General features: G+C 44.3%; 16 annotated features.

Annotated features, from left to right (window-relative positions):
- Positions 3,797-4,542: an enhancer, noted in NCBI's record as "OCT4-NANOG hESC enhancer chrY:58971453-58972198 (GRCh37/hg19 assembly coordinates)". NCBI's record gives its function as "activates a minimal SCP1, AML or CMV promoter by ChIP-STARR-seq in primed H9 embryonic stem cells {active_cell/tissue: H9 hESC(primed)}" and the evidence as "EXISTENCE:reporter gene assay evidence [ECO:0000049][PMID:30033119]".
- Positions 7,523-8,266: an enhancer, noted in NCBI's record as "OCT4-NANOG-H3K4me1 hESC enhancer chrY:58975179-58975922 (GRCh37/hg19 assembly coordinates)". NCBI's record gives its function as "activates a minimal SCP1, AML or CMV promoter by ChIP-STARR-seq in primed H9 embryonic stem cells {active_cell/tissue: H9 hESC(primed)}" and the evidence as "EXISTENCE:reporter gene assay evidence [ECO:0000049][PMID:30033119]".
- Positions 8,267-9,010: an enhancer, noted in NCBI's record as "OCT4-NANOG hESC enhancer chrY:58975923-58976666 (GRCh37/hg19 assembly coordinates)". NCBI's record gives its function as "activates a minimal SCP1, AML or CMV promoter by ChIP-STARR-seq in primed H9 embryonic stem cells {active_cell/tissue: H9 hESC(primed)}" and the evidence as "EXISTENCE:reporter gene assay evidence [ECO:0000049][PMID:30033119]".
- Positions 9,011-9,754: an enhancer, noted in NCBI's record as "OCT4-NANOG hESC enhancer chrY:58976667-58977410 (GRCh37/hg19 assembly coordinates)". NCBI's record gives its function as "activates a minimal SCP1, AML or CMV promoter by ChIP-STARR-seq in naive and primed H9 embryonic stem cells {active_cell/tissue: H9 hESC(naive and primed)}" and the evidence as "EXISTENCE:reporter gene assay evidence [ECO:0000049][PMID:30033119]".
- Positions 9,755-10,500: an enhancer, noted in NCBI's record as "OCT4-NANOG-H3K27ac hESC enhancer chrY:58977411-58978156 (GRCh37/hg19 assembly coordinates)". NCBI's record gives its function as "activates a minimal SCP1, AML or CMV promoter by ChIP-STARR-seq in naive H9 embryonic stem cells {active_cell/tissue: H9 hESC(naive)}" and the evidence as "EXISTENCE:reporter gene assay evidence [ECO:0000049][PMID:30033119]".
- Positions 10,501-11,244: an enhancer, noted in NCBI's record as "OCT4-NANOG-H3K27ac hESC enhancer chrY:58978157-58978900 (GRCh37/hg19 assembly coordinates)". NCBI's record gives its function as "activates a minimal SCP1, AML or CMV promoter by ChIP-STARR-seq in naive and primed H9 embryonic stem cells {active_cell/tissue: H9 hESC(naive and primed)}" and the evidence as "EXISTENCE:reporter gene assay evidence [ECO:0000049][PMID:30033119]".
- Positions 11,245-11,988: an enhancer, noted in NCBI's record as "OCT4-NANOG-H3K27ac hESC enhancer chrY:58978901-58979644 (GRCh37/hg19 assembly coordinates)". NCBI's record gives its function as "activates a minimal SCP1, AML or CMV promoter by ChIP-STARR-seq in naive and primed H9 embryonic stem cells {active_cell/tissue: H9 hESC(naive and primed)}" and the evidence as "EXISTENCE:reporter gene assay evidence [ECO:0000049][PMID:30033119]".
- Positions 11,989-12,732: an enhancer, noted in NCBI's record as "OCT4-NANOG-H3K27ac-H3K4me1 hESC enhancer chrY:58979645-58980388 (GRCh37/hg19 assembly coordinates)". NCBI's record gives its function as "activates a minimal SCP1, AML or CMV promoter by ChIP-STARR-seq in primed H9 embryonic stem cells {active_cell/tissue: H9 hESC(primed)}" and the evidence as "EXISTENCE:reporter gene assay evidence [ECO:0000049][PMID:30033119]".
- Positions 13,479-14,222: an enhancer, noted in NCBI's record as "OCT4-NANOG-H3K27ac hESC enhancer chrY:58981135-58981878 (GRCh37/hg19 assembly coordinates)". NCBI's record gives its function as "activates a minimal SCP1, AML or CMV promoter by ChIP-STARR-seq in primed H9 embryonic stem cells {active_cell/tissue: H9 hESC(primed)}" and the evidence as "EXISTENCE:reporter gene assay evidence [ECO:0000049][PMID:30033119]".
- Positions 14,223-14,966: an enhancer, noted in NCBI's record as "OCT4-NANOG hESC enhancer chrY:58981879-58982622 (GRCh37/hg19 assembly coordinates)". NCBI's record gives its function as "activates a minimal SCP1, AML or CMV promoter by ChIP-STARR-seq in primed H9 embryonic stem cells {active_cell/tissue: H9 hESC(primed)}" and the evidence as "EXISTENCE:reporter gene assay evidence [ECO:0000049][PMID:30033119]".
- Positions 14,967-15,710: an enhancer, noted in NCBI's record as "OCT4-NANOG hESC enhancer chrY:58982623-58983366 (GRCh37/hg19 assembly coordinates)". NCBI's record gives its function as "activates a minimal SCP1, AML or CMV promoter by ChIP-STARR-seq in primed H9 embryonic stem cells {active_cell/tissue: H9 hESC(primed)}" and the evidence as "EXISTENCE:reporter gene assay evidence [ECO:0000049][PMID:30033119]".
- Positions 17,802-18,399: an enhancer, noted in NCBI's record as "OCT4-NANOG hESC enhancer chrY:58985458-58986055 (GRCh37/hg19 assembly coordinates)". NCBI's record gives its function as "activates a minimal SCP1, AML or CMV promoter by ChIP-STARR-seq in primed H9 embryonic stem cells {active_cell/tissue: H9 hESC(primed)}" and the evidence as "EXISTENCE:reporter gene assay evidence [ECO:0000049][PMID:30033119]".
- Positions 19,401-20,145: an enhancer, noted in NCBI's record as "OCT4 hESC enhancer chrY:58987057-58987801 (GRCh37/hg19 assembly coordinates)". NCBI's record gives its function as "activates a minimal SCP1, AML or CMV promoter by ChIP-STARR-seq in primed H9 embryonic stem cells {active_cell/tissue: H9 hESC(primed)}" and the evidence as "EXISTENCE:reporter gene assay evidence [ECO:0000049][PMID:30033119]".
- Positions 20,554-21,055: an enhancer, noted in NCBI's record as "OCT4 hESC enhancer chrY:58988210-58988711 (GRCh37/hg19 assembly coordinates)". NCBI's record gives its function as "activates a minimal SCP1, AML or CMV promoter by ChIP-STARR-seq in primed H9 embryonic stem cells {active_cell/tissue: H9 hESC(primed)}" and the evidence as "EXISTENCE:reporter gene assay evidence [ECO:0000049][PMID:30033119]".
- Positions 23,667-24,209: an enhancer, noted in NCBI's record as "OCT4 hESC enhancer chrY:58991323-58991865 (GRCh37/hg19 assembly coordinates)". NCBI's record gives its function as "activates a minimal SCP1, AML or CMV promoter by ChIP-STARR-seq in naive H9 embryonic stem cells {active_cell/tissue: H9 hESC(naive)}" and the evidence as "EXISTENCE:reporter gene assay evidence [ECO:0000049][PMID:30033119]".
- Positions 25,411-25,912: an enhancer, noted in NCBI's record as "OCT4 hESC enhancer chrY:58993067-58993568 (GRCh37/hg19 assembly coordinates)". NCBI's record gives its function as "activates a minimal SCP1, AML or CMV promoter by ChIP-STARR-seq in naive H9 embryonic stem cells {active_cell/tissue: H9 hESC(naive)}" and the evidence as "EXISTENCE:reporter gene assay evidence [ECO:0000049][PMID:30033119]".

The following is a 25,936-nucleotide window of genomic DNA, read 5'->3' on the forward strand; positions in this document are numbered from 1 at the left end:
GAATTCAACATTATTCTTGTTTCTAAAATAGTCTGGTTTGAAGTATCATGTTATTCTCTAAGAAATTTTCATTAAATTGCTATTGCATCCAAAAGTTAGCTCCTTGGAAAACAAAGCCAATGTATGCACATTCATGCTTATTTCATTTGAATGACTAATATCAACAAAATCTATGTCTCTGATTCCCAATAGTAACAAAGAGAAGTAATGAGTCATTGTGGTTTATCTGAATTCTAGTAACTCTTTCCTTCTTCCAGTAGTTTCTGGAGCAGCCAAAATCAAATCATCTTTTATGCAAATATTCTAAATGCATCTGAAGTGAGTTCAGTTATACTTAGAGTCATAATTTAAAAAATTATTTTCTTTGTACTCATGAAGGCTCCTAATATTCCTACATTTCCCGTATTCAGCAGTTCAGCTCTTTTGCCATCTTTTTCCACTTTTGCAAAAACATACATGTCAAAGAAATCATGCATAATCAGATTCCCATGTAAATAAGGTAAACAAAATCTCTAAATCACAAGACTTCTTTTCTTATTAATAACCAACCAAATATATACATATACATATGTACTATATCTATATATATATATCTATATATAGATATGTCATGATTGCCAAGAATATTGGTAGTTTTTTTTAGTACTCAAGATATACATTCTTTTACTACTTTGTTTCTAAAGCTAGTTTGAAATAATATACCATAGGGGTCTCTCAGGTATGAAATAACTACTTCAGCAAGCACAGCTTTCCTAAAGAAAAAACTTTTTCTAGATTAAGCTGCATCCCAATATGCTAACTGACGTGAACGAAGCACATATCATTGATGTGCAAAACTTCTAGGGAGTAGAAGTGAAACCCTGGGGGTCACCCTCATCCTTCTAACTTCCGCTTTCCATTAAGTGACTCCCCACAAGTCTCCTCATCAGAAGCCTCCAAATTACCTAGCTAGCTGCTTTCTTTGTTCTGCCCAGTTTGACATACACTCTTTTTCATTCATAAAGCTAATATCCATATTGGTGGACTTCATTCTTTGCCCTCCACTTTCATTTCTTCATTATTCTCACTACTACTGTATTCTGACATCTGTACAATCCCATTCTGACACATGTGAAGATAAGGTTTTGTTTTATTAAAATGTTAAATGTATCAGACACTTTACTAACGTGTACAAATTCCTTCTTCACAAAAGCAGCGCCATGGCCTTCTCTCTCCCATAGACACTTTCACAACTGTTCTTCACTCACATCGGTTTGAGTATCATCTCTCATTTTGGCTCTATGCTTTCACCTCATATCATGAGTTATTATCATAGGCTCAGCAGCCTATCTTACCTATTTTCCTCTCCAGGAGACAGTACGAGTAGTAAATTAGAATCTTCCAGGATATGAACACTTTCACGTACAAAAGACTTTGTGGAGCTATTTTATGTTTAACTACGCATAAAACCACTATGTCTATACCTTCTAGAGAAACGGGCTCTGAAATTCTATTGAACATAACCTATTTAAAAACTTCTTTAACTACAATGACACTGCCTCTCCTCAATGAACCAACATCTTCAGAAATAACTTGTGAAGACTTGAAAACATGTCAGTAATTGACATGAAAAATGAAGAATGATGTAATTTTTTGCAGGTATAAATAAGTAACGCTGAGATCCTTACTAGATCCAAGAAGAGCAGAGTGCTATGAGACAGGAAATAAATGTGGAACAGAAATATTTTCATTTGTAATGAAAATTATTCTATTTACAGTTTTCAGAAGAGAAAAAATACGCACAGATACACACACACACACACACACACACACATTCACACACAAAAACCAGAGCAATATGGCTTTACAGGGTGTTTTTTCTTCAAGGGCCTATTTGTCATTTGACATCCGGGAACACTCTGTGGGGATCAACAAAGGGGTTCTAAATTGTGACCTGAGTAGTTTAGAGTTTAACATTCATGAGGGGGAGCCAAGAGAACAAGTAACAGTTTGACCATCGGCCATTTCCTCTCCTTACTGTCATTCTCTGAAAAGCATACACTGGATTTTCTCAGGGTCATGACATGTCAAAAAGACATGCTTTAAGGGGAAACTGTTGCAATCAACACAGCCATGGGAGAGATACAGCTATGCTTGCTAGGATTTCTAATACTTCTGTTTCATTTCTAATATAGTACAAATCAATAAAACCAACCACGTAAGCATATCCATGCTGGTATGTCATCATATTTATGACCATATGGTATCAGCATGAAGAAAGCATAATTAAATATGCTGCAGTCATCACATGGCATATCATTAGATCATACAATAAATCAAATACCTCGCTGGGTCAATGTGGATAGATCTGAAATATATATCACTGATTTTGCAAAGACCAAGTTGCAGTCATTGTGTGCACTGTCTGAACTTTTCTACAAGGTTTTAATACACAAAATCAAGTTCTACAGGGTATCTATGAATGTGCACATATGTTGTAAGAGGTTTTTAATGTGTATTTGGGTGATTTTCTTTTTTAAAAAAAAAAATTTAATTCAAGTTCTTGGTTAGATGTCGTCAATAAGTTTTAGTAGTACAGAAAACCCTAAGACTATAACAGCTCAGAATGACTGTCTTAAAAGGCTATGTCTACCAAAGAGTCAGGAAAGCACGACTACTTACTTTCTTCATTTTTAAAACTCAGAGGTACCCCACTCACACTCCCAAATAAAACTGCACACAAGTTCTTTAGTTTAATTAGATCCCATTTTTCAATTTTGGCTTTTGTTGCCATTGCTTTTGGTGTTTTAGTCATGAAGTATTTGCCCATGCCTATGTCCTGAATGGTACTGCCTAGGTTTTCATCCAGGGTTTTTACACATTTAGAACTGACTTTTAAGTCTTTAATGCATCTTGAGTTAATTTTTGTATAAAGTGTAAGGAAGGGGTCCAGTTTCAGTTTCCTGCATAAGGCTAGCCAGTTTTCCCAACACCATTTATTAAATAGGGAATCCTTTCCCCATTGCTTTGTCAGGTTTGTCAAAGATCAGATGGTGTAGATGTATGGCATTATTTATGAGGCCTCTGTTCTGTTGCATTGGTCTATATATCTCTTTTGGTACCAGTACCATACTGTTTTCATTACTGTGGCCTAGTAGTATAGTTTGAAGTCAGGTAGCATGATGCCTCTAGCTTTGTTCTTTTTGCTTAGGATTGTCTTGGCTATGTGGGCTCTTTTTTTGGTTCCATATGAAATTTAAAGTAGTTTTTTCTAATTCTGTGAAGAAAGTCAATGGTAGCTTGATGGGTATAGCATTGAAACTACAAATTACTTTGGGCAGTATGGCCATTTTCAAGATATTGATTCTTCCTATCCATAAGCATGGAATGTTTTTCCATTTGTTTGTGTCCTCTTATTTCCTTGAGTGGTGGTTTGTAGTTCTCCTTAAAGAGGTCCTTCAAATCCCTTGTGAGTTGTATTCCTTGTTATTTTATTCTCTTTGTAGCAATTGTGTATGGGAGTTCACTCATGATTTAGTGCTCTATAACTGGTGTATAGGAAGGCTTGTGAATTTTGCACATTGACTTTGTATCCTGAGACTATGAGGAAGTTGCTTATCAGCTGAAGGAGATTTGGGGCTGAGACTATTTGGTTTTCTAAATATACAATCATGTCATCTGCAAACAGAGACAACTCGACTTCCTTTCTTCCTATTTGAATACCGTTTATTTCTTTCTCTTGCCGATTACCCTGGCCAGAACTTCCAATACTATGATCAGAGTGAACAGGCAACCTACAGAATGGGAGGAAATGTTTGCAATCTGTCCATCTGACAAAGGCCTAATATCTAGAATCTACAAGGAACTTTAACAAATTTACAAGAAAAGAACAATCTCATCAAAAAGTGGGCAAAGGATATGAACAGACTCTTCTCAAAAGAATACATTTATGCAGCCAGCAAACATCTGAAAAAAAGCTCATCATCACTGATCATTAGAGAAATGCAAATCAAAACCACAATGAGATACAATCTCACGTCATTTAGAATGGCAATTGTTAAAAGCTCAGGAAACAACAGATGCTGGAGCAGATGTGGAGAAATAGGAATGCTTTTACACTGTTGGTGGGAGTGTGAATTAGTTCAACCATTGCGGAAGGCAGTGTGGTGATTCCTCAAGGATCTAGAAACGGAAATACCATTTGAGCCAGTAATCCCACTACTGGGCATGTACTCGGTGTGTGTGTGTGTACATATATATATATATATATATATATGGTTCCATTGCATTCGATTCCATTACATTAGACTCCATTCCATTCAAGTTCATTCCATTCGAGTCCATTCGATTCCAGTGAATTGCATTCGAGTCCATTACATTTGATTCCATTCCGTTCCATTCCATTATATTCGATTCCATTCCATTCCAATCCATTCCATTCGATTTCATTCCATTCAATTGCATTCCATTAGATTGCATTCCATTCGATTGCATTCCATTCGAGTTCATTCCATTCGAGTTCCTTCCATTCGAGTTCATTCCATTCGAGTTCATTCCATTCCAGTCCAATCCATTCGAGTCCATTCCATTCCAGTCCTGTATTCGATTCCATTCCATTCCATTCCACTCGATTCCATTCCACTCGATTCCATTCCACTCGATTCCATTCCATTTGATTCTATTCCATTCCATTCCATTGCATTCAATTCTATTCCATTCCATTCGATTCCTTTCTTTTTGGGTTCATTCCATTCTAGTCCACTCCATTCCAGTCCACTCCAATCAAATCCATTTCATTCCATTCCAGAAGATTCCATTCCATTCAAGTCCATTCCAGTCGCTTCCAATCCATTCCATTCAAGAAGATTCCATTCCATTCAAGTCCATTCCAGTCGATTCCATTCCATTCCATTGCATTCCATTCGATTGTATTCCATTCCATTCCATTAGAATAGATTCCATTCCATTCTATTCCATTCCATTCGATTCATTTCCTTTCGAGTCCATTCCATTCGAGTCCATTCCAATCAAGTCCATTTCATTCCAGTCCATTCCATTCGATTCCCTTCCATTCGATTCTATTCCATTCGATTCTATTCCATTCGATTCTATTCCATTCAATTCTATTCCATTCGATTCCATCCCGTTTGATTGCATTCCATTCGATTGCATTCCATTCGAGTCCATCCAATTGAATCCATTCCATTTGCATCCATTCAATTCGAATCCATTCCATTCGTGTCCATTCCATTCCATTCCATTCCCTTTGAGTCCATTCCATTCGATTCCATTCCATTCCAGTCCATTCCATTCGGTTCCATTCCATTCCTTTCCATTCCATTCGATTCCATTCCATTCGATTCCATTCCATTCAATTCCATTCCATTCGAGACTGTACTATTACACTCCATTCGATTCCATTCCATTCGATTACATTCCATTCGATTCCATTCCATTGCATTCCATTCCATTCCATTAGTTTCCATTCCATTCAATTCCATTCCTTTCGTTTCAAATCCCTTCCATTCAATTCCATTCCATTCAATTCCATTTCATTCGATTCCATTCCTTTCGAGTCCATTCCATTCAAGTCCATATCATTCCAATCCATTCCCTTTGAGTCCATTCCATTCCAGTCCATTCCACTACAGTCCATTCCATCCAATTCCATTCCATTGGATTACATTCCATTCGAATGCATACCATTCGATTACATTCCATTCGAGTCCATTGAATTACACTCCATTCCATTCCATACCATTCCATTCCATTCGATTGCATTCCATTCAAGTTCATTTCATTGAATTCCATTCCATTCCGGTCGATTACATTCGAGTACAATCCACTCTATTCCATTCCATACCATTCCATTCCATTCGAGGCGATTCCTTTCAAGTCCATTGCATTGCAGTCCGTTCCATTTGATTCCATCCCATTTGATTCCATCCCATTCGAGTCCATTCCATTCAAGTCTGTTCCATTCGAGTCCGTTCCATTCGAGTCCGTACCATTCTATTCCATTGCTTTCCTTTCCTTTCCTTTCCTTTCCATTCCATTCCTTTCCATTCCATTCCATGCGAGTCCATTCCATGCGAGTCCTTTCCATTCCAGTCCATTCCATTCAATTTCGATTGCATTCCATTCCATTCTAATCCGTTCCATCCGATTGCATGCCATCCGATTGCATGCCATCCGATTTGATTCCATTCTGTTCTATTCCATTCCATTTGATTCCTCTTCCTTTCGAGTCCATTCCATTCTAGTCCATTCCATTCCAGTCCATTCCATTCGAGTCCATTCCATTCCATTCTAGTCCATTCCATTCCATTAGATTCCAGTGCATTTTATGCCATTCCACTCGATTCCATTCCATTCCATTCCATTCCAGTCCATTCGATTCCATTCCATTCAAATCAATTCCATTCCAATCCATTCCATTCCATTCTATTCCATTCCATTAAATTTGAATCCATTCCATTCCATTCCAGTCCATTCCTTTCAAGTCCATTCAATTCCATTCCGTTCGAATTCATTCCATTCCATTCCATTTGATTCCATTCCATGCCATTCCATTCAATTCAATTCCATTCGATTCCATTCCATTCAAATCAATTCCATTCCAATCCATTCCATTCCATTCTATTCCATTCCATTCCACTCTATTCCATTCCATTAAATTTGAATCCATTCCATTCCATTCCAGTCCATTCCTTTCAAGTCCATTCCATTCCATTCCGTTCGAATTCATTCCATTCCATTCCATTTGATTCCATTCCATGTCATTCCATTCAATTCAATTCCATTCGATTCCATTCCATTCAAATCAATTCCATTCCATTCTATTCCATTCCATTAAATTCGAGTCCAATGCATTCCCTTCCCTTCCATTCCTTTCCATTCCAGTCCATTCCAGTCCAGTCCATTCCATTCGGATCCATTCCATTTCATTCCATTGCTTTGAATTCCATTCCATACCATTCCAGTCCAGTCCATTACATTCGAGTCCATTCCATTCGAGTCCATTCCAATTGATTCCCTTTCATTTGATTCCATTCCATTCGTTTGCATTCCATTCGATTCCATTCAATTAGATTCCATTCCATTCGTTTCCATTCCATTCGAGTCCATTCCATTCAAGTCCATTCCATTCCAGTCCATTACCTTCGAGTCTATTCCATTCCATTCTATTCCATTCCATTCAATTCCATTCCTTTCGATTCCATTCCATTTGAGTCCATTCCATTCCTGTCCATTCCATTCCATTCAATTCCATTTCATTCCAGTCCATTCCATTCCTTTCCATTCCATTCCATTCGAGTCCATTCCATTGCATTCCATTGCATTCAATTCCATTCGATTCCATGCCATTCCAGTCCATTCCTTTTGAGTCCATTCCATTCCATTCCTTTCGAATCCATTCCATTCCATTCCATGTCATTCCATTCCATTCCATTCCATTCCATGTCATTCCATTCCATTCCATTCCCTTCGAATCCATTCCATTCCATTCCGTTTCCTTCCATTTGATTCCATAACATTTGATTCGATTCAATTCCTTTCCATTCCAATCCATTCCATTCCATTCCATTAAATTCTATTCCATTCCATTTTATTCCATTTCACTCGAGTCCATTCCATTCAAGTCCATTCCATTCCAGGCCATTTCTTTCGAGTCCATTCCATTCTATTCCATTCCATTCCATTCCTTTCGGGACCATTCCATTACTGTCCATTCCATTTGAATCCATTCCATTCCAGTCCATTACATTTGATTCCATTCCATTCGATTCCATTCCATTCGATTGCCTTCCATTCCAGTCCATTCCATTTGAGTCCATTCCGTTTCCATTCCTTTTGATTCCATTCCTTTCCATTCGAGTCCATTCCATTCCACTCGATTGCATTCCATTCGATTCCATTCCATTCGAGACCGTTCCATTCTGATCCATTCAATTCGAGTCCATTCCATTCTATTACATTTCATTAGATTCCATTTCATTTGATTCCATTCCATTCGAGTCCATTCCATTCCATTCCATTCGAATCCATTCTATTCCATTCCATTCCATAACACTCCCGTTCCACTTTACTCCACTCCACTCCATTAAATTCCATTATATCCAATTCCGTTCCACTCCATTCCACTCCTCTCCTCTCCACTGCACTCCACTGCACTCCATTCCACTCCATCCCATTCCATTCTGCTCCATTCCACTGCAATCCACTCCACCCCACTCATCTCCACTTCATTCCATTCCATTCCATCCCATTCCATTCCTCTCCATTCCAGTCCACTCTACTTCACCTCACTCCACTCCACTCTAGTCCACTCCATTCCATTCCATTCGATTCCACTGCATTCCACGCTATTCCTTTCTTTCAAAAGTATCTCACTCTGTCACCCTGCCTGCAGCACAGTGGCACAATCTCAGCTCACATTTCATTTCACCATTCCATTCCATTCCACTCCACTCTACTCCACTCCAATCCATTCCACTCCACTCCAGTCCACTCCACTCCTTTCCATTCCATCCCATTCCATTCCACTCCTTTCCACTCCACTCCACTCCATTCCATTCCACTGCATTCCATTCCACTTTACTCCAGTCCACTCCACTCCATTTCATTCCACTGCATTGCATTCCACTCTTTTCCACTCCATTCCATTTCATTCCACTCCATTCCATTCTACTCCCTTCCACTCCTCTCCACCACATTCCACTCCATTCCATTCCCTTCCATTACATTACATTCCATTGCATTCCACTCCACTCCACTCCATTCCTCTCCATTCCATTCCATTCCACTCCACTCCATTCCATGCCATTCCATTCCACTCCACTCCATTCCATTCCATTGCATTCCACTCCATTCTGCTCCACTCCACTCCACTCCACTCCCTTTCATTCCATTCCACTTCACTCCATTGCATTCCATTCCTTTCTTTCGACAGGATATCACTGTGTCACCCAGGCTGGAGTGCAGTGGCACAATCTCTGCTCACATTACATGTCAACTTTCCATTTCATTGCATTCTATTCCATTGCATTCTGCTGAATTCCATTGCATTCCATTGCATTCCATTGCATTCCATTGTATTCCATTCCATTCCGTTCCACTCCACTCCACTACATTCTATAACATCCAATTACATTCCACTCCTCTCCATTCCACTGCTCTCCCCACCACTCCATTCCACTCTATCCCATTCCATTCCACTCCATTCCACTGGACTCCGCTCCACCCCACTTCACTCCACTTCATTCCATTCCATTCTATCCCATTCCATTCCTCTCCATTCCACTCCACTCCACTTCACTCCACTCCACTCCACTCCACTCCAGTCCACTCCATTCCATTCCACTGCATTCCATTCCTTTCCTTTCTTTTGAGAGTATCTCACTCCATCACCCAGCCTGGAGAGCAGTGGCACAATCTCAGCTGACATTTCGTTTCACCATTCCATTCAATTCCAATCCATTCAGTTCCATTCCGCTCCACTCCACTCCACTGCAATCCATTCCACTCCACTCCATTCCATTCCACTCCACTCCTTTCCATTCCATTCCACTCCTTTCCTCTCCAATGCACTCTACTCCACTCCATTCCATTCCACTCCATTAGATTCCATTCCTTTCTTTTGACAGGATCTCACTCTGTCACCCAGGCTGGAGTGCATTGGCACAATCTCAGCCCACTTTTCATTTCACCATTCCATTCCATTCCATTCCACTGTACTCCACTCCAATCCACTGAATTCCAGTCCACTCCACTCCAACCTATTCCATTCCATTCAATTCCAATCCCTTCCATTGCACTCCTTTCTTTCGACAGGATCTCCCTCTCACACAGGGTGCAGCGCAGTGGCACAATCTCAGCACACATTTCTTTTCACCATTCCATTCCATTCCGTTCCATTCTGTTCCATTCCATTCATTTCCATTGCATTCCATCCCACTCCATTCCATTCCACTCCACTCCTCTCCACTCCACTCCCTTCCATTCCATGCCATTCCGTTCCTTCCTTTCCAAAGGATGTCACTCTGTCACATAGGCTGGAGTGCAGTGGCACAATCTCAGCTCACATTTCTTTCCACCATTCCATTGCATTCCATTCCATCCCATTCCATTCCTCTCTATTTCACTCCACTCGACTCCATTCCACTCCAGTCGACTCCATTCCACTAAACTCGACTCCACTCAACTCCATTCCATTCCATTCCATACCATTTCACTCCATTGCATTCCATAGCTTCTTTTCCACAGTATATCATGGTGTCACCCAGGCTGGAGTGCAGTGGCACTATCTCAGCTCATATTACATGTCAACTTTCCATTGCATTGCATTCTATTCCATTACATTCAATTGCATTCCATTCCTTTCCATTGCATTCCATTCCATTCCATTCCTTTCCATTCCATTCCACTCCGTTCGACTCCACTCCACTCCATTCCTCTACATTCCATTACATCCGATTCCATTCCACTCCATTCCACTCCTCTGCACTCCACTGCACTCCACTCCATTCCACTCCATCCCATTCCATTCCGTTCCATTCCACTGCACTCCACTCCACCCCACTCCACTCCACTTCATTCTATTCCATTCCTCTCCATTCCACGCCACTCCTCTTCACTCCACTCCTCTCCAGTTCACTCCATTCCGTTCTATTCCATTACATTACATTACACTGCATTCCATTCCATTCCATTCCTTTCTTTCGAGAGTATCTCACTCTGTCACCCAGCCTGGAGTGTAGTGGCACAATCTCAGCACACATTTCATTTCACCATTCCATTCCATTCTATTCCATCCCATTCCATTCCACTCCACTCCATTCCAGTCCATTCCATTCCACTCCTTTCCACTCCACTCCATTCCATTCCACTCCATTCCATTCCTTTGTTTTGACAGGGTCTCACTCTGTCACCCAGGCTGGTGTGCAGTGGCACAATCTCAGCTCACATTTCATTTCACCATTCCACTCCATTCCATTCCATTCCACCGCACTCCACTCCACTCCACTCAATTCCATTCCACTCCAGTCCACTCCATTCCATTCCATTCCAATCCCTTAAATTCCACTCCTTTCCTTCAAAAGGATCTCCCTGTGTCACACAGGCTGTAGCACAGTGGCACAATCTCAGCACACATTTCTTTTCACCATTTCATTCCATTCCATTCCACTCTATTCCATTCCATTCCCTTCCACTCCACTCCAGTCCTCTCCATTCCACTCCACTCCACTCCATTCCACTCCATGCCACTCCATGCCAATCCACTCCATTCCATTCCACTCTACTCCACTCCTCTCCATTCCACTCCAATCCACTCCACTCCATTCCACTCCATGCCAGTCCACTCCACTCCATTCCATTCCACTCTATTCCACTCCACTCAACTCAATTCCACTCCCCTCCACTCCACTCCATTCCACTCCATTCCACTCCCCTCCCCTCCATTGCATTCCCTTCCATTCCATTCCTTTCTTTCCACAGGATCTCACTCTGTCACAAAGGCTGGAGTGCAGTATCACAATCTCAGCTCACATTTATTTTCACCATTCCATTGCGTTCCATTCCATCCCATTCTATTCCACTATATTTCACTCCACTCCACTCCATTCCATTCCACTCCATCCCATTCCATTCGACTCCACTCCATTCCACTCCATTGCACTCCACTCCACTCCATTCCATTCCACTCTACTTCTCTCCACTCCACTCCCTTCCATGCCATTCCATTCCACTCCACTCCTTTCCATTCCATTCCACTCCACTCCATTCCACTCCACTCCATTCCATTCCACTCCATTCCATGCCATTCCATTCCACTCCACTCCATTCCACTCTACTCCATTCCACTCCACTCCACTCCATTCCTTTATTTCTACTGGATCTCACTCTATCAACCAGACTGGAGTTCAGTGGCACAATCTTAGATCACATTTCATTTCACCATTCCATTCCATTCAATTCCATTCCATAACCCTCCGTTCCACTCCACTCCACTCCACTAAATTCCTTTACATCCGATTCCATTCCACTCCATTCCACTCCTCTCCTCTCCACTGCACTTCACTCCATTCCACTCCATCCCATTCCACTCCATTCCACTGCAATCCACTCCACCCCACTCATCTCCACTTCATTCCATTCCATTCCATCCTATTCCATTCCTCTCCATTCCAGTCCACTCCACTTCACCCCACTCCACTCCATTCCATGCCATTCCATTCCACTGCATTCCATTCTATTCCTTTCTTTTGAAAGTATCTCACTCTGTCACCCAGCCTGGAGCGCAGTGGCACAATCTCAGCTCACATTTCATTTCACCATTCCATTCCATTCCATCCCACTCCACTCCACTCCACTCCAATCCATTCCACTCCATTCCACTCCACGCCATTCCAGTCCACTCCACTCCTTTCCATTCCATCCCATTCCATTCCACTCCTTTCCACTCCACTCCACTCCATTCCATTCCTTTCTTTTGACAGGATCTCACTCTGTCACCCAGGCTGGTGTGCAGTGGTACAGTCTCATCTCACATTTCACTTCACCATTCCATTCCATTCCATTCTATTCCACAGCACTCCACTCCACTCAATTCGACTCCACTCCACTCCAATCCATTCCATTCCAATCCCTTCCATTTCACTCCTTTCTTTCGACAGGATCTCCCTCTGTCACACAGGTTTAGTGCAGTGACACAATCTCAGCACACATTTCTTTTCACCATTTCATTCCATTCCATTCCGTTCCATTCCATTCCATTCCATTACACTCCATTCCATTCCACTGCATTCCATTCCACTCTACTCCAGTCCACTCCACTCCATTTCATTCCACCACATTCCATTCCACTCTTTTCCACTCCATTCCACTCTATTCCATTCCATTCCACTCCTCTCCACTCCACTCCATTCCATTTCATTCCATTCCACTCCATTCCATTCCCTTCCATTCCATTCCCTTCCATTACATTCCATTCGATTGCATTCCACTCCACTCCACTCCATTCCTCTCCATTCCATTCCACTCCACTCCATTCCATACCATTCCATTCCACTCCATTCCATTCCACTCCACTCCATTCCATTGCATTCCACTCCACTCCACTCCACTCCATTCCATTCCATTTCACTCCATTGCATTCCATTCCTTTCTTTTGACAGGATATCACTGTGTCACCCAGGCTGGAGTGCAGTGGCACAATCTCTGCTCACATTACATGTCAACTTTCCTTTTCACTGCATTCTATTCCATTGCATTCCATTGCTTTCCATTGCATTCCATTCCATTCCATTCCACTCCACTCTACTCCACTCCATTCCATACCATTCCGTTCCTTTCTTTCCAAAGGATCTCACTCTGTCACAGAGGCTGGAGTGCAGTGGCACAATCTCAGGTCACATTACATGTCAACTTTCCATTTCTTTGCATTCAATTGCATTCCATTCCTTTCCATTACATTCCATCACACTCCGACTCCGACTCCACTCCACTCCTCTACATTCCATTACATCCTATTCCATTCCACTCTATTCCACTCCTCTCCACTCCACTGCACTCCACTCCACTCCATTCCACTCCATCCCATTCCATTCCTCTCCATTCGGCTGCACTCCACTCCACCCCACTCCACTTCATTGCATTCCATTCCATCTCATTCCATTCATCTCCATTCCACTCCACTCCACTTCACTCCACTCCACTCCTCTGCAGTCCACTCCATTCCATTACACTGCATTCCATTCCATTCCTTTCTTTCAAGAGTATCTCACTCTGTCACCCAGCCTGGAGCGTAGTGGCACAATCTCAGCTCACATTATATTTCCCCATTCAATTCCATTCTATTCCATTCTATTCCACTCCACTCCACTCCAGTACATTCCACTCCACTCCACTCCAGTACATTCCACTCCACTCCACTCCTTTCCAGTCCATTCCAGTCCTTCCCATTCCATCCCATTGCATTCCACTCCTTTCCACTCCACTTCCCTCCACTCCAATCCATTCCATTCCACTCCATTCCATTACATTCCTTTCTTTTGACAGGATCCCACTCTGTCACTCAGGCTGGTGTGCAGTGGCACAATCTCAGCTCACATATCATTTCATCATTCCACTCCATTCCATTCCATTCCACTGCACTCCACTCCACTCAATTCCACTCCACTCTACTCCAATCCATTCCATTCCATTCCAATCCCTTCCATTCCACTCCTTTCTTTTGACAGGATCTCCCTGTGTCACACATTTCTTTTCACCATTTCATTCCATTCCATTCCACTGCATTCCATTCCATTCCCTTCGACTCCACTCCACTCCTCTCCATTTCCACTCCAGTCCACTCCCACTCCATTCCAATCCGTGCCACTCCATTCCACTCCACTCCATTCCATTCCACTCTACTCCACTCCACTCAATTCCACTCCACTCAATTCCACTCCACTCCACTGCATTCCATTGCACTCCATTCCATTCCGTTCCATTCCTTTCTTTCCACAGGATCTCACTCGGTCACAAAGGCTGGAGTGCAGTGGCACAATCTCAGCTGACATTTCTTTTCACCATTCCATTGCATTCCATTCCATCCCATTCCATTCCACTGTATTTCACTCCACTCCACTCCACTCCGTTCCACTCCATGCCATTCCATTCCACTCCACTCCACTCCATTGCTTTCCATTCCTTTCCTTCGACAGGATATCTCTGTGTCACCCTGGCTGGAGTGCAGTGGCACAATCTCAGCTCACATTACATGTCATCTTTCCATTGCGTTGCATTCTATTCCATTGCATTCCATTCCATTCCATTCCTTTCCATTCTGTTCCATTCCATTCAATTCTCTTCCATTCCACTCTGTTCCACTCCACTCCCCTCCACTGCACTACATTCCATTACATCCGATTCCATTACACTCCATTCCAGTCCTCTCCACTCCAGTGCACTCCACTCCACTCCATTCCACTCCATCCCGTTCCATTCCGCTCCATCCCACTGCACTCCACTCCACCCCTCTCCACTCCTCTTCCTTCATTCCATTCCATTCCACCTTTTTCCATTCCTCTTGATTGCACTCCAATCCACTTCACTCCACTCCACTCCAATCCATTCCATTCCATTCCACTGCATTCAATTCCATTCCTTTCTTTAGAGAGTATCTCACTCTGTCACCAAGCCTGGAGTGCAGTGGCACAATCTCAGCTCACATTTCATTTCACCATTCCATTGCATTCTACTCCATTAAATTCCACTCCACTCCACTCCAATCCATTCCACTCCACTCCACTCCATTCCAGTCCACTCCAGTCCTTTCCATTCCATCCCATTCCATTCCACTCCTTTCTACTCCACTCCACTGCTCTCAACTCCATTACATTCCATTCCACTCCATTCCATTCCAGTACTTTCTTTTGACTGTATCTCACTCTGTCACCCAGGCTGGTGTGCAGTGGCACAATCTCAGCTCACATTTCATTTCACCATTCCATTCCATTCCATTCCACTGCACTGCACTCCACTCAATTCCACTCCACTCTACTCCAATCCGTTCCATTCCATTTCAATCCCTTCCATTCCACTCCTTTCTTTCGACAGGGTCTCCCTCTGTCACACAGGCTGTAGTGCAGGTGATGAGACTATTTTATAGTCTCTGTGTATGGGGGCATTTTGACCTATCTCTGCACTGATCACCCAAGTGATGTAACACTTGACTATGCTCTGCCTATTGGGGCATAGTGACATATCACTGCATTGATCACTCAGATGTTGTAGCTCTTGCCTAGGCTCTGCCTACATGGGCATTGTGACACATCTCTGAACTGATCAACCAAGTGATGTAACCCTTGTCTAGGCTCTGCCTACAGGAGCTTTGTGACATATCTCTGCACTGATCACCCAGGTGATGGGACTTTTGTCTAGGCTCTGCCTACAGTGGCATTGTGACATATCTCTACAGTAATCAACCAGGTGATGTAACTCTTGTCTAGGCTCTGCCTACAGGGGGCTTTGTGGTATAACTCTGCACTGATCACCCAGGTGATGGGACTCTTCTCTAGGTTCTGCCTATTGGGGGCATTGTCACATATTTCTGCACTGATCACCCAGGTGACGGACTCTTGTCTTGGATCTGCCTATGGAGGCAATGCGACATATCTCTGAACTAATCACCCAGGTGATGTAACTCTTGTTTAGGCTCTGGCCACAGGGACATAGTGACATATATCTGCACTGATCACACAGGTAATGTAACTCTTCTCTAGTCTCTGCCTACAGAGGGCGTTGTGACATCACTCTGCAATGATCACCCAGGTGATGTAACCATTGTCTAGGCTCTACCTACATGGACATTGTAACATGTCTCTGCACTGATCACCCAGGTGATGTAAATTTTGTCTAGGCTCTGCTCACAGGGGCATTTTGACATATCTCTGCACTGATCACCGACATGATGTAACTCTTCTCTGGGCTTTGCCGACAGGACTAATTGAGACATATCTCTGCACTGATCACCGAGGTGATGCAACTCTTGTCTGGGCTCTCCTTACAGGGCGCATTGTGACATATCTGCCCTGATCACCCAGGTGATATAACTCATTTCTAGGTTCTGCCTACAGGGGCGTTATGACATATCTCTGAAGTGATCACCGAGGTGATGTAACTCCTGTCTAGGCATTGCTTACAGGGTGCATTGTAACATATCTCTGCACTGATCACCCAGGTGATGTAACCCTTGTCTAGGATCTGACTAAAGGTTGCTTTGTCACATAACTTTGCACTGATCATCCATGTGATGGGGCTTTTGTCCAGGCTCTGCCTATGAGGGCATTGTGACGTATTTCTGCACTGATCATCCAGGTGACAGACTCTTGTCTTGCATCTGCCTCTGGGGGCACTGTGAAATATCTCTGCACTGATCACCCAGGTGATGTAACTGTTATATAAGCTCTGCCTACAGGGGAATTGTGAGAGATCTCTCCACGGATCACCCAAGTGATGTAACAATTGTCTAGGCTTTGCCTACAGGGGGTTTTGTGACATATCTTTGCACTGATCACCCAGGTGATGTAACTCATCTAAGCTCTGCCTACAGGGGCCTTGTGACATATCTCTGCACTGATCACCCCGGGGAGAGAATTCTTGTCTAGGCTCTGCCTACAAGGGGCTTTTTGACATATCTCTGCACTGATCACCTAGGTGATGTAACTCTGATCTACCCTCTTCCTACAGGGGGCATTGTGAAGTATGTCTGCACTGATCACCCAGTTGATGCAACTCTTGTCTAGGATCTGCTGACAGGAGGTATTGTAAAATATCTCTGCACTGATCACCTGGGTGATGTAACTCGTCTACCCTCTGCCTACAGGGGGTATTGTGAAATATCTCTGCACTGATCAACTAGGTGATGTAACTCTTGTCTAGGCTCTGCCTACAGGGGCGTTTTGACATATCTCTGAACTGATGACAAAAGTGATGTAACTCTTGCCTAGGCTTTGCCTACAGGGGACATTGTGACATATCTCTGCACTGATCACCCAGGTGATGCAACTCTTCTCTATGCTCTGCCTACAAACGGCATTGTGACATATCTCTGCACTGATCACCCAGGTGAAGTAACTTTTCCAGTCTCTGCCTACAGAGGGCGTTGTGACATCATTCTACACGGATCACCAGGGTTATGTAAGTCTTGTCTAGGCTCTGCCTATGGGAGCACTGTGACGTATCTCTGCACTGATCATCTAGGAGATGTGACTCTTGTCTAAGCTCTGCCTACAGGGGCATTGGGACATATCTCTGCACTGATCACTGAGATGATGTAACACTTGTCAAGGCTTTGCCTACAGTGAGATTTATGACATATCTCTGCACTGATCACCCAGTTGATGTAACTCTTGTCTAGGCTCAGCTTACAGGGGGTATTGTGAGATATCTCTGCACTGATCACCCAGGTGATGTAACTCTTGTTAGGCTCTGCCTACAGGGGCATTTTAACATATCACTGCACTGATCACCGAGATGATGTAACTTGTACAGGCTTCGCTGACAGAGGTCTTTGAGACATATCACTTCACTGATCACCGAGGTGATGCAACTCTTGTCTGGGATCTGCCTACAGGGGGCATTGTGACATATCTCTGCATTGATCACCGAGGTGATGTAACTCTTGTCTAGGCTCTGCCTGCTGGAGACATTGTGACATATCTCTGCACTGATCACCCAGGTGATGTAACTCTTGTCTAGGCTCTGCCTACATGGACATTGTGACATGTCTCTGCACTGATCACCCAGGTGATGTAAATTTTTTCTAGGCTCTGCCCTCAGGGGCATTTTGACATATCTCTGCACTGATGACCTAGATGATGTAATTCTTTTCTGGGCTTTGCCGACAGGAGACATTGAGACATATCTCTGCACTGAACACGGAGGTGATGCAACTCTTGTGTGGGCTCTGCCTACAGGGGGCATTGTGACATATCTCTGCCCTGATCACCCAGGTGATGTAACTCTTGTCTAGGCTCTGCCTAAAGGGGGTATTGTGACATATCTCTGCACTGATCACATAGGTGATGTAACTTTTTCTAGGCTCTGCCTACAGGGGCGTTTTGACATATCTCTGAAGTGATCACCGAGGTTATGTAACTCTTGTCTAGGCTTTGCCTACAGGGGGCATTGTAATATATCTCTGCACTGATCACCCAGGTGGTGCAACTCTTCTCTAGGCTCTTCTTACAGGGGGCATTGTGACATATCTCTGCACTGATCACGCAGGTGACTTAACTCTTCTCTAGGCTCTGCCTACAAGGTGCTTCGTGACATCACTCTGTATTGATCATCAAGGTGATGTAACTTTTGTCTAGGCTCTGCCTAAGGGGGCATTGTGACATACCTCTGCACTGATCACTGAGGTGATGTGAACCCTGTCTAAGCTCTCCCTATGGGTGCATTGTGAGATATCTCTGCACTGATTCCCCAGATGATGCAACTCCTTTCTAGGCTTTGCCTAAAGGGGGATTTGTCACATCTCTATAGTGATCACCCAGGTGATGTAACCCATTTCTAGGCTCTGCCTACAGGGGAATTGTGACATATCACTGCACTGATCACCCAGGTGATGTAACTCTTCTTTAGGGTGTACTTTCAGGGGGCTTTGTGACGTACCTCTGCACTGATCAACTAGGCGATATAACTCTTTTCTAGGCTTTGCCCTGAGGGGGCATTGTTACATATCTCCATACTGATCACCCAGGTAATGCAACTCTTTTCTACTCTCTGCCTACAGCGGCATTGTGACTTATCACTACACTGATAACACAGGTGATGGGACTCTTCCCTACACTCTGCCTACAGGGGTCTTCATGACATATCTCTGCACTGATAACTCAGGTGATGGGACTTTTCTCTATACTCTGCCTAAAGGGGGATTTGTGACATTTCTGCACCGATAACCCAGGTGATGGAAGTCTTGTCTAGGCTCTGTCTACAGGGATTTTTGTGACATATCACTGCACTGATCACCTAGATGATGTAACTCTCATCTAGGCTCTGCCTACAGAGGCATTTTGATGTATCACTTCACTGATCACCCAGGTGATATAACTCTTGTCTAGCCTCCGCCTACGGGGGTATTGTGACATATCTCTGCACTGATCACCCAGGCAATGCAACTCTTCTCTAGGCTCTGCCTACAGGGGTCTTTGTGACATATCTCTGCACTGATCACCCAGGTGATGGAAGTCTTGTTTAGGCTCTGTCTATGGGGTCATTGTGTCAAATATCTGCACTGATCACCCAGGTGATGTAACTCTTGTTTAGGCTCTGTCTGAAAGGATTTTTGTGACGTATCACTGCACTGATCACTTAGATGATTTAATTCTTGTCTAGGCTCTGCCTACAGGGGCATTTTGATGTATCATTGTATTCATTACCCAGGTGATGTAACTCTTGTCTAGGCTCTGCCTATAGGGGGCATTGCGACATATCTCTGCACTGATCACCCAGCTGATGGAACACTTGTCAAGGCTCTGCCTACATGGGCATTGTGACACATCTCTGAACTTATCAACCAAGCGATGTAACTCTTGTCTAGCCTCTGCCTACAGGGGTTTTGTGACATATCTCTGCACTGATCACCCAGCTGATGGAACTTTTGTCTAGGCTCTGCTACGGGGGCATTGTGACATATCTCTACACTGACCACCCAGGTGATATAACTCTTGTGTTGGATCTGCCTATGGGGACATTGCGACATATTTCTGCACTGATCACCCAGGTGATGGGACTCTTTTCCAGGCTCTGTGTATGGGGGCTTTGTGACATATCTCTGCACTGATCACCTACGTGATGAAACCTTTGACTAGGCTCTGCCTACTGGGGCATAGTGACATATCACAGCATTGATCACTCAGATGATGTAACTATTGTCTAGGTTCTGCTTAAAGGGGCCTTGTCACATATCTCTGCACTGCTCATCCAGCTGATGAAACATTTGTCTAGGCTCTGCCTACATAGGCATTGTGACACATCTCTGAATTGATAAACCAAATGATGTAACTCTTGTCTAGGCTCTACCTACAGGGGCTTTGTGACATATCTCTGTACTGATCAGCCATGTGATGGGACTTTTGTCTAGGCTCTGCCTACGGGGGCATTTTGACATATCTCTACACTGATAATCGAGGTGATTTAACTCTTGTGTTGGATCTGCCTAGGGGGCATTGTGACATATTTCTGCACTGATCACCCTGGTGATGGGACTCTTGTCTAGGCTCTGTGTATGGGGGCTTTGTGACATATCTCTGCACTGATGACCCAGGTGATGTAATGCTTGACTAGGCTCTGCCTACTGGCGCATAGTGACATATCACTGCATTGATCACCGAGGTGATGTAACTGTTGTCCAGGCTCTGCCTATAGGGGGCCTTGTGACATACCTCTGCACTGATCATCTAGGTGATGTAACTCTTGCTTATGCTCTGCCTGCAGGGGCATTGTGAAATATCTCTTTACTGAACCACCAGGTGATGTAAATCTTGTCTAGGCTCTGCCTACAGAGGGCATTGTGGCATAACTCAGCACTGATCACCTAGGTGATGGGACTCTTCTCTAGGCTCTGCCTACAGCGGTCATTGTCACATATTTCTGCACTGATCATCTAGGTGACGGACTCCTGTCTTGGATGTGCCTATGGGGGCATTGTGACATATCTCTGCACTGCTCACCCAGGTGATGTAACTCTGGTGTAAGCTCTGCCTAAAGGGGCACCGTGACAGATCTCTGCACTGATCACTCAGGTGATGTAACCATTGTCTAGGCTCTGCTTAAAGGGGCCTTGTCACATATCTCTGCACTGATCACCCAGGTGATATAACTCTTGTCTAGGCTCTGCTTACAGGGGGTATTTTGGCATATCTCTGCACTGGTCACCTAACTGATGTAACACTTGAGTAGGCTCTGCCTACAGTGGCATTTTGACATACCTCTGCCCTGATAAGCAAGGTGATTTAACCCTTGTCTACGCTGTTCCCACAGGGGGATTGAGACGTATCTCTGCACTGATCCCGAGGTGATCCAACTCTTTTCTGGGCTCTGCCTACTGGGGACATTGTGACATATCTCTGCACTGATCTCCCTGGTGATGTAACATTTGTCTGGGCTCTGGCTACACGGCATTGTGACATATCACTGCACTTATCACCCAGGTGATATAACTCTTGTCTAGGCTCTGCCTACAGGAGGCTTGTGACATACCTCTGCACTGCTCACCCAGGTGATGTAACTCTTGTCTAGGATCTGCCTACAGGGTGCTTTGTGACATATCCCTGCAATGATCACCCAGATGATGTACCACTTGTCAAGGCTCTGCCTACAGGGGCATTGCGATGTATCTGCACTGATCACCTAAGTCATGTAACTCTTATCTAGGCTCTGCCAACAGTGGCATTGTGACATATCTCTGCACTGATCACCCCGTGGAGAGAATTCTTGTCTAGGCTCTGCCTACAGGGGCCTTTGTGAGAGATCTCTGCACTGATCACCTAGGTGATATAAAACTTATAAGCTCTGCCTACAGGGAATTTTGACAAATCTCTGTACTGATCACCTAGGTGATGTAACTCTTGTCTACCCTCTGCCTACAGGGGGCATTGTGAAATATCTCTGCACTGATAACCCAAGTGATGCAACTCTTGTCTAGGATCTGCCTACAGGGGGTATTGTGAAATATCTCTGCACCGATCAACTAGGTGATGTAACTCTTTTCTAGGCTCTGCCTACAGGGGCGTTTTGACATATCTCTGAACTGATGAGAAAGGTGATGTAACTCTTGCCTAGGCTTTGCCTACAGGGGACATTGTGACATATCTCTGCACGGATCACCCAGGTGATGTAACTCTTTTCTAGTCTATGCCTACGGACGGTGTTGTGACATCACTCTGCACATATCACCCGGGTTATGTAACTCTTGTCTGGGCTCTGCTTATGGGAGCATTGTGACTTATCTCTGCACTGATCACCCAGGTGATGTAACTCTTGTCTAAGCTCTGCCTACAGGGGCATTGGGACATATCTCTACACTGATCACTGAGGTGATGTAACACTTGTCTAGGTTTTGCCTACAGTAGGATTTATGACATATCTCTGCACTGATCTCCCAGTTGATGTAATTCTTGCCTAAGCTCTGCTTACAGGGGTATTGTGAGATCTCTGCACTGATCACCCAGGTGATATAATTCTTGTCTAGGCTCTGCGAACAGGGGCATTTTAACTTATCACTGCACTGATCATCGAGGTGATGCAACTCTTGTCTGGGATCTGCCTACGGGTGGCATTGTGACATATCTCTGACCTGATCACCCAGGTGATGTAACTCTTGTCTAGGCTCTGCCTGCTGGAGACATTGTGACTTATCTCTGCACTGATCACCCAGGTGATGTATCTCTTGTCTAGGCTCTGGCCACAGGGACATAGTGACATATATCTGCACTGATCACACAGGTAATGTAACTCTTCCCTAGTCTTTGCCTACAGAGGGCGTTGTGACATATCTCTGCACTGATCTCTCAGGTGAGGTTACTCTTGTCTAGTCTCTGCCTACAGAGGGCGTTGTGACATCACTCTGCAATGATCACCCAGGTGATGTAACCATTGTCTGGGCTCTACCTACATGGACATTGTAACATGTCTCTGCACTGATCACCCAGGTGATGTAAATTTTGTCTAGGCTCTGCTCACAGGGGCATTTTGACATATCTCTGCACTGATCACCGAGATGATGTAACTCTTCTCTGGGCTTTGCCGACAGGACTAATTGAGACATATCTCTACACTGATCACCGAGGTGATGCAACTCTTGTCTAGGCATTGCTTACAGGGTGCATTGTAACATATCTCTGCACTGATCACCCAGGTGATGCAACTCTTCTCTAGGTTTTGCCTACAGAGTGCATTGTGACATATCTCTGCAGTGATCTCCCCGGTGATGTAACCTTTGCCTAGGCTCTGGCCACGCGTCATTGTGACATATCACTGCACTGATCACCCATGTGATATAACTCTTGTCTAGGCTCTGCCTATAGTGGCATTGTGACATATCTCTGCACTGATCACCCATGTGATATAACTCTTGTCTGGGCTCTGCCTACAGTGGCATTGTGACATATCTCTGCACTGATCACCCAGGTGATATAACTATTGTCTAGGATCTGCCTACAGGCTGCTTTGTGACATATCCCTGCAATGATCATCCAGGTGATGTACCATTTGTCAAGGCTCTCCTTAAAGGGGCATTGCGATGTATCTCTGCACTGATCACCTAGGTCATGTGACTCTTGTCTAGGCTCTGCCTGCAGTGGCATTGTGACATATCTCTGCACTGATCACCCAGGTGATATAACTCTTGTCTGGGATCTGCCTAAATGGACTTTGTGACAGAACCCTGCACTGATCATCCAGGTGATGGGGTTTTTGTCTAGGCTCTTCCTACGGGGGCATTCTGACTTATTTCTGCACTGATCACCCAGGTGACGGACTCTTGTCTTGCATCTGCCTATGGGGGCATTGTGACATATCTCAGCACTGATCACCCAGGTGGTGTAACTGTTGTATAAGCTCTACCTACAGGGGAATTGTGAGAGATGTCTTTACTCATCCCCCAAGTAATGTAACTATTGCCTAGGCTTAGCCTACAGGGGGCTTTGTGACATAACTTTGCACTCACCACCCAGGTGATGTAACTCATTTAAGCTCTGCCTACAGGGGCTTTGTGACATATCTCTGCACTTATCACTCCTGGAGAGAGAATTCTTGGCTAGGCTCTGCCCACAGGGAGCTTTGTGACATATATCTCTGCACTGATCACGTAGGTGATGTAACACTTTTATAAGCTCTGCCTACAGGGAATTTTGACAAATCTCTGCACTGATCACCTAGGTCATTTAACAGTTCTCTACGCGCTGCCTACAGGGGGCAATGTGAAAAATCTCTGCACTGATCACCCCGGTGATGCAAGTCTTGTCTAGGATCTGCCTACAGTGGGTATTGTGAAATATCTCAGCACTGATCACCTAGGTGATGTAACTTTTTTCTACCCTCTGCCTACAGGGGGCAATGTGAAAAATCTCTGCACTGATCACCCAGGTGATGCAAGTCTTGTCTAGGATCTGCCTAAAGGGGCATTTTAACATATCTCTGAACTGATGGCAAAGGTGATGTAACTCTTGCCTAGGCTCTGCCTACAGGGGACATCGTGACATATCTCTGCACTGATCACCCAGGTGATGTAACTCCTGTCTAGGCTCTGCCTACAGGGGCATTTTAATATATCACTGCACTGATCACCGAGGTGATGCAACTCTTGTCTGGGATCTGCCCACAGGGGGCATTGTGACATATCTCTGACGTGATCACCCAGGTGATGTAACTCTTGTCTAGGCTCTGCCTACTGGAGACATTGTGATAGACATTGTGACTTATCTCTGCACTGATCACCCAGGTGATGGAACTCTTGTCTAGGCTCTGGCAACAGGGACATAGTGACATATATCTGCACTGATCACACAGGTGATGTAACTCTTTTCTAGTCTTTGACTACAGAGGGCGTTGTGACATATCTCTGCACTGATCTCTCAGGTGAGGTAACTCTTGTCTAGTATCTGCCTACAGAGGGCGTTGTGACATCACTCTGCAATGATCACCCAGGTGATGTAACCCTTGTCTAGGCTCTGCCTACATGGACATTGTGACATGTCTCTGCACTGATCACCCAGGTGATGTAAATTTTGTCTGGGCTCTGCCCACAGGTGCATTTTGACATATCTCTGCACTGGTCACGGAGAAGATGTAACTCTTCTCTGGGCTTTGCCGACAGGAGGCATTGAGACATATCTCTGCACTGATCACCGAGATGATGCAACTCTAGTCTGGGCTCTGCCTACAGGGTGCTTGTGACCTATCTGCCCTGATCACCCAGGTGATATAACTCTTGTCTAGGCTCTGCCTCAAGGGGGTATTGTGACATATCTCTGCACTGATCACCCAGGTAATGCAACTCTTCTCTAGGCTCTGCCTACAAGGTCCTTTGTGACATCACTATGTATTGATCATCCCGGTGATGTAACTTTTGTCTCAGCTCTGCCTACAGGGGCTTCGTGACATATCTCTGCACTGATCACCCAGGTGATGGGACTTTTGTCTAGGCTCTGCCTATGGGGGCATTGTGACATATCTCTACACTGATCACCCAGGTGATGTAACTCTTATGTTGGGTCTGCCTATGGGGGCATTGCAACATATTTCCGCACTGATCACCCTGGTGATGGGACTCTTGCTTACGCTCTGCCTGCAGTTGCATTTTGAAATATATCTTTACTGATCAACCAGGTGATGTAACCCTTGTCTGGGATCTGCCTACAGGGTGCTTTGTGACATATCCCTACAATGGTCACCCAGGTGA

Source organism: Homo sapiens, chromosome Y (assembly GCF_000001405.40).
Source record: "Homo sapiens chromosome Y, GRCh38.p14 Primary Assembly".
NCBI lineage: Eukaryota > Metazoa > Chordata > Mammalia > Primates > Hominidae > Homo > Homo sapiens.